Raw genomic sequence first — 13171 nt, 5'->3', positions numbered from 1 at the left:
CATTTTCTGTTCATCTGGTGATCTATGCAAAGGAAGGTATCATTTTTCTCGTTTTTCCAGAAGAGAAAACTGTAATTGACTTCACTCCTGTCTCAAAAAGATGAAGTAATGTTTCTAGAGTTACATGTTATATGGAGTTGGGTTCACCCATACTCTAGGATTTTTCTTACTCATAACCCCAAGAGTCCCTGAAAAATCTTAAACAAAACTAGTATATCCATGAGATCCTATGGGGAAACGGCCTGTGTAGCAGAGTCGGAAAGAGAGATGATGGCACAAGGGTAAATGAAAAAGTTTAACAGAAAGACAGAGATGTTGGTGAGGTTAACAAAAATGATGCTGCACCCGGAGACTAGGAACAAGGGAGAGCTGTTACCACCTCTGGGCCTTATTAAAGGGCAAGAGAAGGGAGTTGTTACTGGACTTCAGCAAGAGGTGTATCTGCGGGAGAGAAGCCTCCTGACAACAGCCCTAGCCTTAGGACAAGGAGTAGAGCTACAGGCAAAGCAATAGGGCCTAGGCAGGGATGGAGCAGGGATAAAAATATCCCAACCTATATCCCCTCCTACTTTGCCAACTCCTGCTGGTGTCTCCCACTGGCCAAACCCAAGAAGAAGCCAGAAGGACACACAACTCTTGTGATGAAATCCATAAAGATAAGCCTGCCTCCTGAGACAGAGAGAAGAGCAGAGAAGGGTGGAGAGTGCAAGTGGAGGGGAAAGGAAGAATAAGAAACAACTTTCAGTGAAGCAGAGAAAACCATCCCCATTTGTCCATTTAGTCAACAAATACCTATCTTACCAGGGGCAGGGAAGACAAGACAAGACAAGTAAGGTCCCTAGCTTCAGGGAGGTTACCATGTAGTAGGGGATAATTGACAATAATCATATAACCAAACAAAGATACAGCATTTTCAGATAGTGGTAAATGCCAGGAAGGAACAACAGGATTAATGGACTGATTGTAGCAGATGGAGAGCTGCTTTAAAGAGGGTGGTCAGGAAAAGCTTCTTGGAGGAGGTGGCACTTGAGTTAAGGCAATCTGGGCTTCTTAGAAAAATCTCCCTTGATTCCACATCTACTATCAGGGTTTTTCTACGTGGTTTGTGGGTAAGAATCCAATTTGGGCTGTGATCTAGATGCATCTGACCAGTCCCCAGGAAAATGAGATAAAGGACTGGAAGATAAGAATAGCAACAACAGCAGGGGATAACATTTACATATAGCTTGTAATCTCTGCCATCAAGCCTTTTCTTAACTCCTTTGCATGGCTTCACCTAGCTCCTGTGTATATCAAGGAACTGGGCTGTTACTTCTGTGTTTAAACATCCCCAGCACTGCAAGAACGGTGAAGTGGAAAGGCACGTTCTATTGCTCTTTCTTAAGACATCTCAGTCTTACTCCTTTGAAGTTCTTTGCAAACCACAGAATAGTTTCTTCTCTCTTCCTTGGTGGGTCCTGCCTGATGTGAACTCGAGATAGATTCTTCTTGATGCATCTCCTCCTACTCTCAATTTAAAATGTTAAAATAACTGTGTCAGAGAGGTGAAACCTGTGCACCAATAGCTTTCTCCCAGCCTCTGATGATGTGTGCCATTCAACAGCTCTGCAGCTCGCGGCAGGTCTGTTTTTTCTTTCTCTCCCGCACTCCCCGCTCCTCCTCGTCGATTTCGGGCGTGTCTTCAGTCTTAACTCGGTGGTCTCCAAGCCTTTGTTGAATAGGTAAGATTTCTCAGTCAATAAAGTCAACGCAGTTTTCTACCTCAGCATTCTTCCCCTCCTCTTTCTCTCAAAAAAGAAAGAAAGAAGAAAAAAAGGAAAAAAGAAAGAAGACAGAAGAAAAAAAGGAAAAAAGAAGAAAGAAAGAAAAGAAAGAAAGAAAAAGAAAGAAAGAAAGAGAAAGAAGAAAGAAAGAAAGAAAGAAAGAAAGAAAGAGAAAGAAAGGAAGGAAGAAAGAAAGAAAGAAAGAAAGAAAGAAAGAAAGAAAGAAAGAAAGAAAGAAAAGAAAAATGGGTGGGGGCTAAGACGGGGGAGAGGCTACTATTGCTAGCCTCTGGGGTCTACATTTTGTATTTCGCTGACAGCCCAGGGCCGCTCCAAAGCCCGCCGCGCAGCCAATGGGCAGCGGTGATTTATGGAGCTGACTAACGCGCGCTGAATGCGGCCTGTCAGAGCTCTGTGAATGGCTTCCCTTCGCCGCACAAGCCCCGGCTTTGTGTTGCTAAGCGATTAGAGCAGATGTAATGAGATTTTGCCCAATCCTCGCTTTGCCCTTTCCTAGCTTAGGCAAAATTGTGTGTGTTTTTGTGAATTTTTCGAGTTTGCCTTCGCATTGTGGCAAACAACGACTAACTTTGCCTCGAGTTTAACGAGACTGGATATTTCCCATTCAGAAGTGAGTAAAGAACACCTGTCCTCACAGGAGAAGGAAAAAAAAATCCCCCTTTGTGGGGGCTGAAACATTATCCTAATGTTATATTCATAGCCATAAATGACTTGCTACACTTTCTTTGCATACCTTATCTGGAATCTTGCAAAGGAGCTAAATTAAAGGAAAGAGAAATGGAGAGTGGGGGTGGAGCCCATCTCTGGTCCTCCAAATGAGAAGATAAAAATAAAAGCAGGCATCACAAAAGCATTACTTCTCTCAAGTAAGCTCTAAATTGGCCCACTGCTGGCAGAAAGTCCGATTATTTATGGCGATGAGGAATTTACTGATTTTTTTTCCTTAATTACGCTCATCTCTTTGAAAGGGACTGAAGCCTCAATGTGCATTCTATAGAGGGTCATTTAGCAAAATGACATCAGACGCTGTGGCGTGCTCCGCGCATCGTGGCTTTAAAAAATGATTATTCTGTGCCACTAAATGGTATAGATGTACCAACACAGACTAGATTTTTAACTCTGGAAGACGTGCTGGCTACCCGTTCTTTGTTGGGTTTTGTAAGATGCATTTTGCGCTCGGCTTTCCGCTTGGCTGGAGACACGCAAACTGAATCTGCAAGTAATGCAGGCGGCGAGCGAGGAGCCGGCGAGAGGCCGAGTAGGATTCTAATCACGTCCTTGCTAACTGACAAGAAGCAAGCCAGCCAAAAACCCACCAATTTCTTTTTGAATCTTGGTAATTGGGTACTTTTACACGCAGCTCACGCTATTCGGATAGAGTCACAAGCTTAGATAGACCAGTGTCTCAAAGCGACCACACATTTCTAATGCGTTTTTTTAATTAAAATCTCAATCCGTTTGGAATGAATTCATATCATATATGCCTCTTACTTAAAATCAATATAGCAAGTAGGTGTATTGGAGAAAATGAGTAGAAAATGTATGCCTGGAAGTGAGGGAAGAGAAACATACTCACCACTAGGAGCTTGTATGTGGAGAGGGATGCCTCTCCAACCCCCATCCCAGAACCACCATCCTCCCCACCCAGACCTAGTCTCCATTATTTCATCCAGCCCCACCATAGTTTCACAGGGAGAAACTCAGAATGGAGTTGAGAATTGGAAAATGGTGGAGGACCCTCTCTTTCTGGTTCACTTTTTTGGGGGATTTTAAATTTTGATCAAAGGATAATGCAGCCATCTATTCTTTTTGGTGGGCATGTACATTTGCAGCATAGGATAGAAAGAAAACATATATACATGTACATACACACACACACACACACACACACAAACACACACTCATTCATCATAAAGAAACCATTTGGATGGGACTGGCCATAGCACTTATCATTGTCATTTCTGCCACTTAGCATGTTTTGCAACATTTTCTTCTCCATCCACCTCTTCCCTTTGACATTTTCATAAAACTGGACCAGGGGCATCAGAGTCAAAGAAAGCTTAGAGTCAGCTGATTATTTTCATTTTAAAAAAAGGAAAAAGTTTTATTACGAAACTAGTTTGTATAAAACAGGGTTATACATATTTTTGTAAGTTTGTAATAAAACAGTAAGAAAAAAAAAGGCAGTAATAGAAATCTCCAAAAGGCAACCTATCAAAACCAACTGGCTGCCACTTTGAGTTTGGACAGTAGCTGCATAAACTTTGTTCTTCTTGAACAGTATTTAATAACATCATTAATACATTAACAACATTTCTATAAAGTAAGACACATTGGTGCTGAAGTACAACTGGTGGCCTCTTGATCTCACCTATGAGGAGAGTTCTTTACAAAACCACATAGGGAAAATTGCAGTTGTAAGGTGAACTACACATCTAAAATATGCAGAGGTAATAGCATTACATGTTAAAGTATCAAGATATACACATTTTAAACCATTTGTACAAAACTTCTATAAATTTTTCTCTCTCTTTCTCTCTTATGTACAAAAATATCTTAATATATCCCCGAACTGGTTAGGATAGATACAAATAGATTTTTTATAATAAAAAATTCACAAAAGATTGGAAGCATTCTATAATGAAAATGGTAGAAAAGACAGTGTGAGGGAAGCCATGGGGTTTGGGAATCGGGCCCTGGAGGAGAAGCAGAGTTTCAAAGGGCTGAGAATAGCATAGTTTCACTGTAAACCAATGTCTACAGCTTATTGGGGTGGGGGCTACTGAGACGAAAGACACCAACTCGTTTCTAGAGGGCTAAGAACTGCACTTTAAGAAAGGGCGAGGAGGTGAAGGGACCCGAGCAAGAACTTTCAGCTGTGCGTGTTAGAGGTGATGGGAGTTACTATAACGCGTGTGCTGCTCCCTTCTGCCAGGAGCCCACTGCTTTTGCACACAAGCTGCATTTTGCGCATTGACTCAGGTCCCAGTTGCTCTTCATATCTCCGTGAATGATTGGAGTGCAAAGATACTGTTCTGAGCGCTTCCCGTTTTCTGAAAGCCATGTCTCTCAGGCATGCCTCGCTTAGTTGGCGATGGGGTTGGTTGACTGTTTTCGTTTTTTTCTTCTTCTCTTTTCTTCTTCTTCTTCTTTTTTTTTTCTTTTCCTTTTCTCCCCCTCCCAACGCCACTGACAAGAAAGCACTAAAGATGCAGGTTGTGCGATCACCCTATAACATAAGGAAAAGAACAGGAGAGGTTAATTTGAACGTGTAGGCTAGTGGTAGAGGGAGATGGAGGTCTGGGGAAAGAGTCTGTCAGGTAGACATCTCTTTTAACATGTCCCAGTATTCGGTTCACCAGTATCTCTGCACCTCACTACTACCCTTCACTCCTTGGAGACCTGGGCAAGGCCATTTTCAGAGGCCAGTGCTGAAACTAACAAACTAGGACTTGAAATCGACCAACTTTCACAAATTCTTTAAATAAAAATCCCCTTATCTCCTTGGAGACATCCCCACTTCCACAGACACTCAGAGGGAGGACGAAGGCAAGAATACCCCCCTGCCCACCCCAAAATGCAACCTACCTGCTTCCAAAGTCCATTCGCACCAGGGCCTGACCAGGCCGAGCCCCTCAGAACCAGTTGGTGAAGTCGAGAAGCTCCTGCTCCTCGGGGCTGAGCGGGTCGTAAGAGCCCTCGTCCGACGAGTAGGATGAGACCGGCGAGCCGGCCATGGAGTTCAAGTCGTTGGAGTAGTTGGGGGAGATGGTGGGCGACAGGACGCCTGCCTGGAAGGCGGCGCTCACCGCGTCATGCTCGTCCAGCAGCTGCTGCAGCGCGCGGATGTACTCGACCGCCGAGCGCAGTGTCTCCACCTTACTCATCTTCTTGTTGGCCGCGCCGTTGGGGACGTGCTCCCGAAGGGTGGCAAAGCCCAGGTTGACCAACTTGACGCGGTTGCGCTCGCGCTCGTTGCGGCGCGCCACGGCGGCCGGCTGCTGCTGCGGCAGGCTGTAGCCAAAGCCGCTGAAGTTGAGCCGGCGTTTGCAGCGCATCAGTTCGGGCGAAGACGAGCGCTGTCGCTTGACTTGCTTGGGCGCTGACTTGTGACCGCCCCCTGAGGGCTGGCCGTCGGCCGCCGGTCTCAGCTGCGGCGCCTGCTGCTGCTGCTGCTGCTGCTGCTGCTGCTGCTGCGCGCTCTGCGCTGCCGCTGCGGCGGCTGCGGCCGCCGCGGCTGCGGCCGTGGCAAAGAAACAGGCTGCGGGCGGCAGGAAGGGCTGCTGGGGCTGCGGCTGGGGCTGCTGGCCGGCGCCGCCGCTCTCCATCTTGGCAGAGCTTTCCATGCGCAGCGGCGGCCAAGGAGTCGCGGAATCAGAGCGATCCGGGACGCGAGGTGCGGGGCCCGCGAGGGGGACACAGAGAGAACTTGGGTGCAGGAACAGAGAGGGAAAGAAAAGGAAATATGAAGCGGGAGCCCTGACGGAAGTTAAAAAATATATACAAAATCCCCGGGAGACTTCTTAGAGTGGGAGCAAAAAAAGTGAAAATGCTTTTTCTCCTCCCTGCACGCCGCCTCCTCCTCCCTCCCCTCCTCCCTTCGCGGGTTGGCTTCGGGAGCCTCGCGTGGCGCTCGCGTGTGAGGCTGCCGCTGGCGCCTTCTTGTTTCTAAGAAAAAAAAAAGCAGAAGCAGCAGCAAAAGTCAGTGCTGAACGCGCTCTGCCGCGTCTCGCGTTCCTCTCCTACTAAGGCTGCGCTCTCTTGCGCCGGGTCTCGGTCTCTCCAGCCGTGGCTCAGGCTGTTTTTATTATTTTGTTAACTCCCTTCCTTTCTGATTTCCTTCTTTCACTCGCCCTCCCTGGCCGGATCCCTGTCGGTGCGCCTTCCACGTTCCCTGGCCAGAAGTGAGAGAGTGCTGGGCTGCCGGAGTGCGTCCGCCTTTTCAATGGGACACCCAGCCCCACGCGCAGCCCTGGCCCCGCCTCGCCCCCCACTCCCCGCTGCTGCAGCGAGCGGCTGCAGCCCCCACTCCCCCCCCTCCTCTTACCTCTTCCTCCCACCCACTCCCTAAACTCCCCCTCCTCCTCTCCTCTCCCCCCCTCCCGTTCCTTTCTCCCGCTCCTTGCAAACTCTCCATTCAGCTGGGTTTGTTGTTGCAGTGCGTGCGCCTGGCGCGTGCCGGACTCCCGGCTGAATAAACAGGCGGCGCGCTCGGGGCGGGCTGCTGCCGGGGGTGGCTTTAGGAAGGGGGTGGGGGGCGTCACAGGAGGGACAAATGGCTCTAGGAATTGAGGTGTATAGGTGGAAAGACTTGGGGTGAAGCTCTCTTGGATTCTACTAAGAACTTGAAGCAAAGCGCAGGGAAGGGTTTGGGCAGAAAAAATGGCACAGGAACGGTGTGGAGGTGAGGAGGGAGTGGGGCTCGACTTTTCCTGTTTTCTCTCTCTCCTCACTGTTATTCTCTTCGGGTTCCTCGGTGACCCTAGAAATTGGAGCAAATTACGATTGAAGTTTAGAAACATGGTTGGGGGAGGGACTCCGTCCAGAACAGTGAAAAAAAGTGCTGGACTATGTGAAAACGTGGGTTCTAGTCCCAAGGCGTCCTCTCAATGCTCTGTGGCTCCTCGAAGTGGCATCCTCTCTGAGCCTTCGCTTCCTCGTCTGCAGCCACAGAATATGGTCTCTAATGTCCCATTCAGCTCTAAAAACTAGGATGTGCTCCCCATAACTGAGCAAGTGTGTGGGGGGCCGCGGGGAAGCGACACCGAGGAGTGGTTGTGAGCCGTCCTGTAGGTGGGTGTATATGGCAGGGACGTCCCCCTAGGATGACCTCTGGCCCCCTGTACCATCGCCCCCTACCGCCACCCCCTCCCCATAAAGATTATTTCCGGACCAGCTTAGCGGATATCATAAAGAAGGGAGTGCTCTGGGATACTCCCAGACCCTCGGAGAAGAAAGATGCGGGGCGGGGGTTGAGTGATGGCGCTTAGGGCACTGGTGGGGATTCCTGGTTCTTCGGCGCCGCCGCGGGCACCTCGGCGGCCTTGGCGCAGCCACCATCCCGCCCCAGGCGTGTGCCCGGCGGCCCGGTGGCAGGCGACTGGGAGCGGAGCCCGGCGGGGCCGCGTGCTGGCGCCGAGAGGGAGGGGGAGGCGCTTGCAGCCGTCGCTCGACCGCTTGGACAGCGCCTGCCCAGGCGTCCTTCCTGGGCCTTCGGCCCTGGCGCTCTCTGGCCAGAACCCCGTCCAGCTTCAGGACGTCTGGGGACGCGGCGCTGCGGAGAAAGCAGACCAAGCAATAGGCCCCATCTCTTTAAGGATCTGGTCCGGAGAGAGGCTGGGGCATGTCTCAGGTCTTGTCTACATAGGCAGAACGAAGTGGAGGGCAATCATCCATTTGATTTTCCAGTAGAAATAATCCGAGATCTGGGTGCAGGAATGATTGTGGTGAATTATCCGGATAATTGGTTCTAATTGAACTCCCCTTTGTGGAGGTGGATCTTTCTAAAGGGCCAAGGGGATGACCCAGGGAGCTGCTCTTGGTATGTGGGCTGGCTGAGTGTTTCTGGAACAATAGTGATGATGGTGGGCAGTAATGACGGGCGGCTCCCGAAGTGAATCACCTCTCTTCTCTACCTCAGTTTCATCTTTGCAGAATAGGTAGGCTTCAGAGGTATAGGACCAAATCGTGCCAACAGAGGTCAATTCTGTAACCTTTCCCAGCCACACAGCCCCTTCTCCCCATGGTAACCTGTGGCTTGATGGCCTCACAGGACTGGCTGAACCCCGTGGGATTCACACCTCAGGCCTTTCTCCACATCCCTGACCAAGGAAAGGGCCTAAGAGGTCTCTGGAAGTATAGGAGGTGAGCACCCAAAAGCAGAGTCACAACACAGCCTGGGCACCCTGCACCTCCCAGCCAGAGTAAGCCTCAGACCACTTGCAGAAATAGGAATTATTCAGGCACTCCTTACCCACCTCCCACATGACCCAGCTGTGTCCTAATGCCCCATTCACTCTATTTCAGCCAAATAGTTGAGTGTTGGGGGTGGGAGGGAGTGTCGCAAATGTGGAAGCATCTAGATGTGTTTTCTTTTACATTAAGCTGAAACATGAGCCCCAAACTCCCTACTAACTTGGACTCACTTCACAAAGGTCCCGAGTCTGAGCTCTACCACAATGGTGCCTTATAACCTTGAACAAGTCCCTCTGCCTCTACTGGCCTCAGTTTTCTGATCTACACACAAGGGATGTACAGTAGCTAATTTTGAAACTTGTATCTAACAGCTTAGAAAATTTGCTGGTAGCCAGCACGTGTTTCCTTTTCCAGGATGCATACACAGAGATCTCAATACCAGGGAAGTAGAGGACAGAACCTCCTCTCCTCCTCCCCCCTACACACACCATGAAATGGGTGCCCAAATGGAGTGGAAGTGCATTGTAGTGAAGAAGCCTTGTCTTGTAGTGGCCTTACTCATTGGCCTCAGGCCAGGAGGAAGGACAGTCGTTGCTGGGATCCTTCTGGCCAAAACCGCCAGAACATTTGTCTCTATTCTCCCTATGCCAGCCCTGAGCCTGACCTCACTCTTCTCACCCTAGTATGCTAAGTTTTCTTCCTTACATGCTTTGCAAAGCCTTCCAAGAACCGAGGCGTTCTCCTCCCCCCACTCAAGTAAACCTGGAGTTTGCACCTCAACACTGTCATCTCCACTTTCTCCTCCAACCCTAGGGTAGAACAGTCTATAATTTTTCTTTAGAGGTTTGCATTTCTATCCTTGGGGATTCTACCAAGAGAGTTTTCCATTGATATTGGCTTTCTGGTTGTTTTCACCAGTGTGAAGCAAAAGATGGGAGGCTCAGGAGCCAAAATTAGAATCCTGCCTCTGACTGTGTGACCTAGATTATAATCCCTCCTCCCGACCTGAGAGAACTGGCCACATGTTCTGCTCTCCTAGGCCCATGGAATTCCAGATAAAGCAGGCTGATTTGACTTGGTATCTAGGCCCCTTTACCTGAGAGCTGTGTGACCCTGAGACACTCTAGGGGTCTCTATTTCACCTATGCCAGTAATTATAGTATCTACCTCCAAGAGTTGTGAGACTTCAATGATATGTATGTAGAGCACTCTAGCCCAGGTCTAAAGAGAAAGGGATTAATAAGAAAGTCATGCTCACACAACCCACCCAGGAAAGGGTGTGTGGCAGGAGGAGCCTCAGCACTTGGCTTCCTGGAACCACTCTGTGATCATCACTCCAGCCAATGGAGATCCAGTGCCACTCTGTCTCACTGTCCCAGCACCTAGGGGTGAGTCATTCCTGTCATTTTTGAGAAATGGTGGTGATACTGGCATATTAAGATGATGGAGATAGTAACCCGATTTTTAGACATGAAAAGTAGCAAGTAAGATAGACTATAGAGATGTTCTGTGGCCTCCACATGCAAGGGGCTTCAGCAGAGCCACTGGGCCCTGCTTTCTTGGCTCCCTTGCCACACAGTGGGCCTGATTCTGAGCAAGTCCTTAGGGCTTTAGTTGGCTAAGACACTTGAACAATGTCCCATTTATCTTCACATGAAGGGAGAAGTAAACAACTCACAAAAGGAAGGTTTGATACCTTCATTCATAAATGAGGTGGTAGTACTCCCTTTGCCTGTATGTCAAGGGTGTTATGAGAATTAAATCAGATGTTGTTGGGTAATTTGCTTTGCAAGTCTCTCCACATATCAGAGATTGCCTTTTCACTTTTTCCGAATAGCAGCATTCAGTGTTCTGTCTTGTCATGAGGGTGGGGGAGTGGGAAGGACAAAGCACTGATCCCCTTTGGTGAGTATCACCCAGAGTACAGACATTGCAGAAAGATAAGAAGGCTTCTCTTTCTCCTCCAATACAATAAGGGACTTAATTTCTGCACCTTCAGACCCCTTTCCTATATCAGAACACTCTGGAGCTGAACCATACTTCAGATTAGACTTTATCTTCATTCAGCATCAGGATCTGTAGGGGGAGATGGCTTTCCTAGTGGCCAAAGGGGTCTGCTGCCCTGAGATCAGAGACCCTGTGCCCTGAGTCTCCTGCCACCTTAATTTCCATTCACAGCTGAAGGCCAGGCCAGTACCACCTTTGCTGAAGCTCAAGACCTATGTATGTTCTCTTGATTGTGTGTTGTCTCTCTGTAAAAAGAAGATATGACTCATCTCTTTGAAAACCAATTTATGCTTTCTCTTTGGGGAGAGGGATTGATATTAAAAGTGAAACTAGGATTTTCATTGGACAAATAATTTAATAAAGTTATATTTTTAACTTTAGTTAGATTCTGAATCAGGGGCAAAGGGAATACAAAGATGAACACAAGTCTTGGATTCTGGATTTTGTTACAGGATTTTAAGTGTAATCCTCAATTTGGGGGTGACTTGAGTTCCAGAAGCAATGGATGCTTTGAGAAAAGTGAGTGTGCTTGGCATTCATAGCCAATATTCATCTTCCAGGAGCTATAATTAATACAGGGCCTCTGTCCTGCTGGGGTGTCTGCTGTTCTAAGGCTGTGCTAGACACTGTCCTACCCAGGGAAAATGAAAAGGACTTTACTGCACAATCTACTGCCTCTAAGAATACCCTACCCAAGGTAATTTCAGAAAGGATTGCTGCCCAGCCTGCATTGACTCTGCACCAGCCTTGGAGGGCCTGCTCAGGGGGCAGAATAGCACAAACCATGTATTTGGCTTGGCTCAGCTTCCTGGTCACAGCAGCCAGGCTTGCACCTGCATTAAGGAATTCAGCCTTCTAACAAATCTATTCACTTTTTCAATATGCTTTAAAAAGAAAAAAGTTTGAAAAAACAAAACAAAAAAAGCACAAACTATATTTTATTGTGGCTTTTGGGATAAGGAGGGAATGTGGGGTGGGGTGAGGAGGTAATTTGCAGCCACCCTCACAAGTCCTTTTGAAGTTCTCCAAATAAGGAGAAGTAACGCTAAGTCTTTATTTTTTTCTAAAGCCCCATTTACATTATGATTAAATACCTTCCTTGGATGAGCATAAAGAAAGTCGTTAATCTATATAGCTCTCCAAAGAATCAATACATTCTAAACTTTTGTAGGATTTGTTACACTCTATTTTGTTACAGTAGGCCAGCTCCTCTCTGTCTAGGCACATGGCTTTCCTTCCCTCCTCCTCCCCACCTCCTCCAAGAATGAAAATAAAGTAAAGGTCTTTCATGGTAAACAAAACCAGCTGATTCTTCACAGAGAACCCCTGAATAGCTGGAGAAGAAAAAAAAAACTTACAATAAATGGTGCATTTTTTTCTCTGCTGGGTGTAGTATTCAAGGATCAGGGCAGTATTCAAACAGAGGTCCATTTTTTGCTCAGCAAGAGAGTTTAGAAAAGAAGCGTGGAGTCCATTCAGAGCTCTCCCCCCTTCACAATCGAAGGGCTCTATGAAACCTATCTTCCATGCCTTGTCAGAGTGTTTCTGGGGACCAATTAGTGCTTTGTTGTACGGCTTCTTTGCTGAATCTTTGAGCCGCAAGAAAAAGCGCTCTTGAGTCTCCCCTTATTTTGACCATTTCAGTCATTACTCAGTGTAATAATTAATATGACAACTGGACGCTGGAGTTTGTATAGAAACACCTCAGCTACAGGAGCAAGTGTGCAGTGGGTGGTAACGAGCCGCACATCAGCCGGAGAAGCCACACACACAAAAAAAGCAATGAATGGCAAGAGAGAAAGAGAAGGAATAAAGATAAAATAGTTGGCACAACGCAGGGGAACATAAAACAGACTCAAATGAGAAGAAGGAGGGGGAAGGGGGGACAATTTAAAGGGGAGGGGGAAAAATGCCCTACAGAGGTTAACTTATTTTGAAACTGTTTTCTGAATAGAACCGTGGACGTGAGTGACCGGATTTCAGCCCATCAAATCTCCCACCCCCACTTTGTGGATCCTCTTGGAACTCGGGGGTGGGGAAGAGGGCTCCAGCAAACTTTAGGTTCTCCCCAGGGTTCTTCTGGAAGGTGTACCCAACATGCTACTCAGCCCAATTCCCAACCCTTTGCACCAGGTTTGGCTTCTGTTTTTATTTTTGCAAAGTCTGTTCCTCTTGGCTCCAACTTCCGTCTTTGGAGTTGTTAATGGAGAAGTTAGGGTGCTATGTAGATTCACCAGGCGAGTTCAGTACTACTACCCTGGGGATGAATGTTGGTGAGAAGCCATTCCAGATAGACCCCCAACAACTCTGCTTCGTTGACCCTCAGAACAGTACCCTGTGGGACTCCTGAGCCGTAAGGAGTCTCCCTGGTAGCGCGCAGCGGGGCCAGGCTCTGTGCTCCGGCCCCCGTGCGGTGCCCAGCTCTGCAGGTTCCCGAAAGTGCGCCCCGGGGTGGGGTTGCAATC

At 48.1% G+C, this 13171-nt stretch overlaps 2 protein-coding genes across 2 annotated transcripts in view, besides 5 other annotated features; one reads left to right on the top strand and one right to left on the bottom strand.

Moving 5' to 3' along the window:
* Positions 1235–3825: an enhancer, noted in NCBI's record as "VISTA enhancer hs1574". NCBI's record gives its function as "enhancer in: neural tube[6/6] | hindbrain (rhombencephalon)[4/6] | midbrain (mesencephalon)[5/6] | forebrain[5/6]" and the evidence as "EXISTENCE:transgenic organism evidence [ECO:0001131][PMID:17130149]".
* ASCL1 (achaete-scute family bHLH transcription factor 1) lies at positions 3862–6701 on the bottom strand. The gene is made up of 2 exons (NM_004316.4): positions 5373–6701; positions 3862–5013 (listed from the first exon to the last, which is right to left on the bottom strand). The coding sequence occupies exon 1, from the start codon at positions 6128–6130 to the stop codon at positions 5420–5422; it is 711 nt and encodes a 236-aa protein (NP_004307.2). The 5' UTR covers positions 6131–6701; the 3' UTR covers positions 3862–5013; positions 5373–5419.
* Positions 5171–5702: an enhancer, noted in NCBI's record as "H3K27ac-H3K4me1 hESC enhancer chr12:103352451-103352982 (GRCh37/hg19 assembly coordinates)". NCBI's record gives its function as "activates a minimal SCP1, AML or CMV promoter by ChIP-STARR-seq in naive H9 embryonic stem cells {active_cell/tissue: H9 hESC(naive)}" and the evidence as "EXISTENCE:reporter gene assay evidence [ECO:0000049][PMID:30033119]".
* Positions 5703–6234: an enhancer, noted in NCBI's record as "H3K27ac-H3K4me1 hESC enhancer chr12:103351919-103352450 (GRCh37/hg19 assembly coordinates)". NCBI's record gives its function as "activates a minimal SCP1, AML or CMV promoter by ChIP-STARR-seq in naive H9 embryonic stem cells {active_cell/tissue: H9 hESC(naive)}" and the evidence as "EXISTENCE:reporter gene assay evidence [ECO:0000049][PMID:30033119]".
* Positions 5934–13171, top strand: part of PAH (phenylalanine hydroxylase) — a 121553-nt gene continuing 114315 nt past the window's right edge. The window contains exon 1 of the mRNA NM_001354304.2: positions 5934–6180. The gene's annotated coding sequence lies outside the window, so the exon portion shown is untranslated. The remainder of the gene's footprint in view (positions 6181–13171) is intronic.
* Positions 5995–6064: a silencer, noted in NCBI's record as "silent region_4775". NCBI's record gives its function as "represses an Ori minimal core promoter by ATAC-STARR-seq in GM12878 lymphoblastoid cells {active_cell/tissue: GM12878}" and the evidence as "EXISTENCE:reporter gene assay evidence [ECO:0000049][PMID:35858748]".
* Positions 11473–12886: an enhancer, noted in NCBI's record as "VISTA enhancer hs1122". NCBI's record gives its function as "enhancer in: eye[6/7]" and the evidence as "EXISTENCE:transgenic organism evidence [ECO:0001131][PMID:17130149]".

This window comes from Homo sapiens, chromosome 12 (genome assembly GCF_000001405.40).
Source record: "Homo sapiens chromosome 12, GRCh38.p14 Primary Assembly".
Classification (NCBI taxonomy): Eukaryota; Metazoa; Chordata; class Mammalia; order Primates; family Hominidae; genus Homo; species Homo sapiens.
This window is presented reverse-complemented; position numbering and strand designations above follow the sequence as displayed.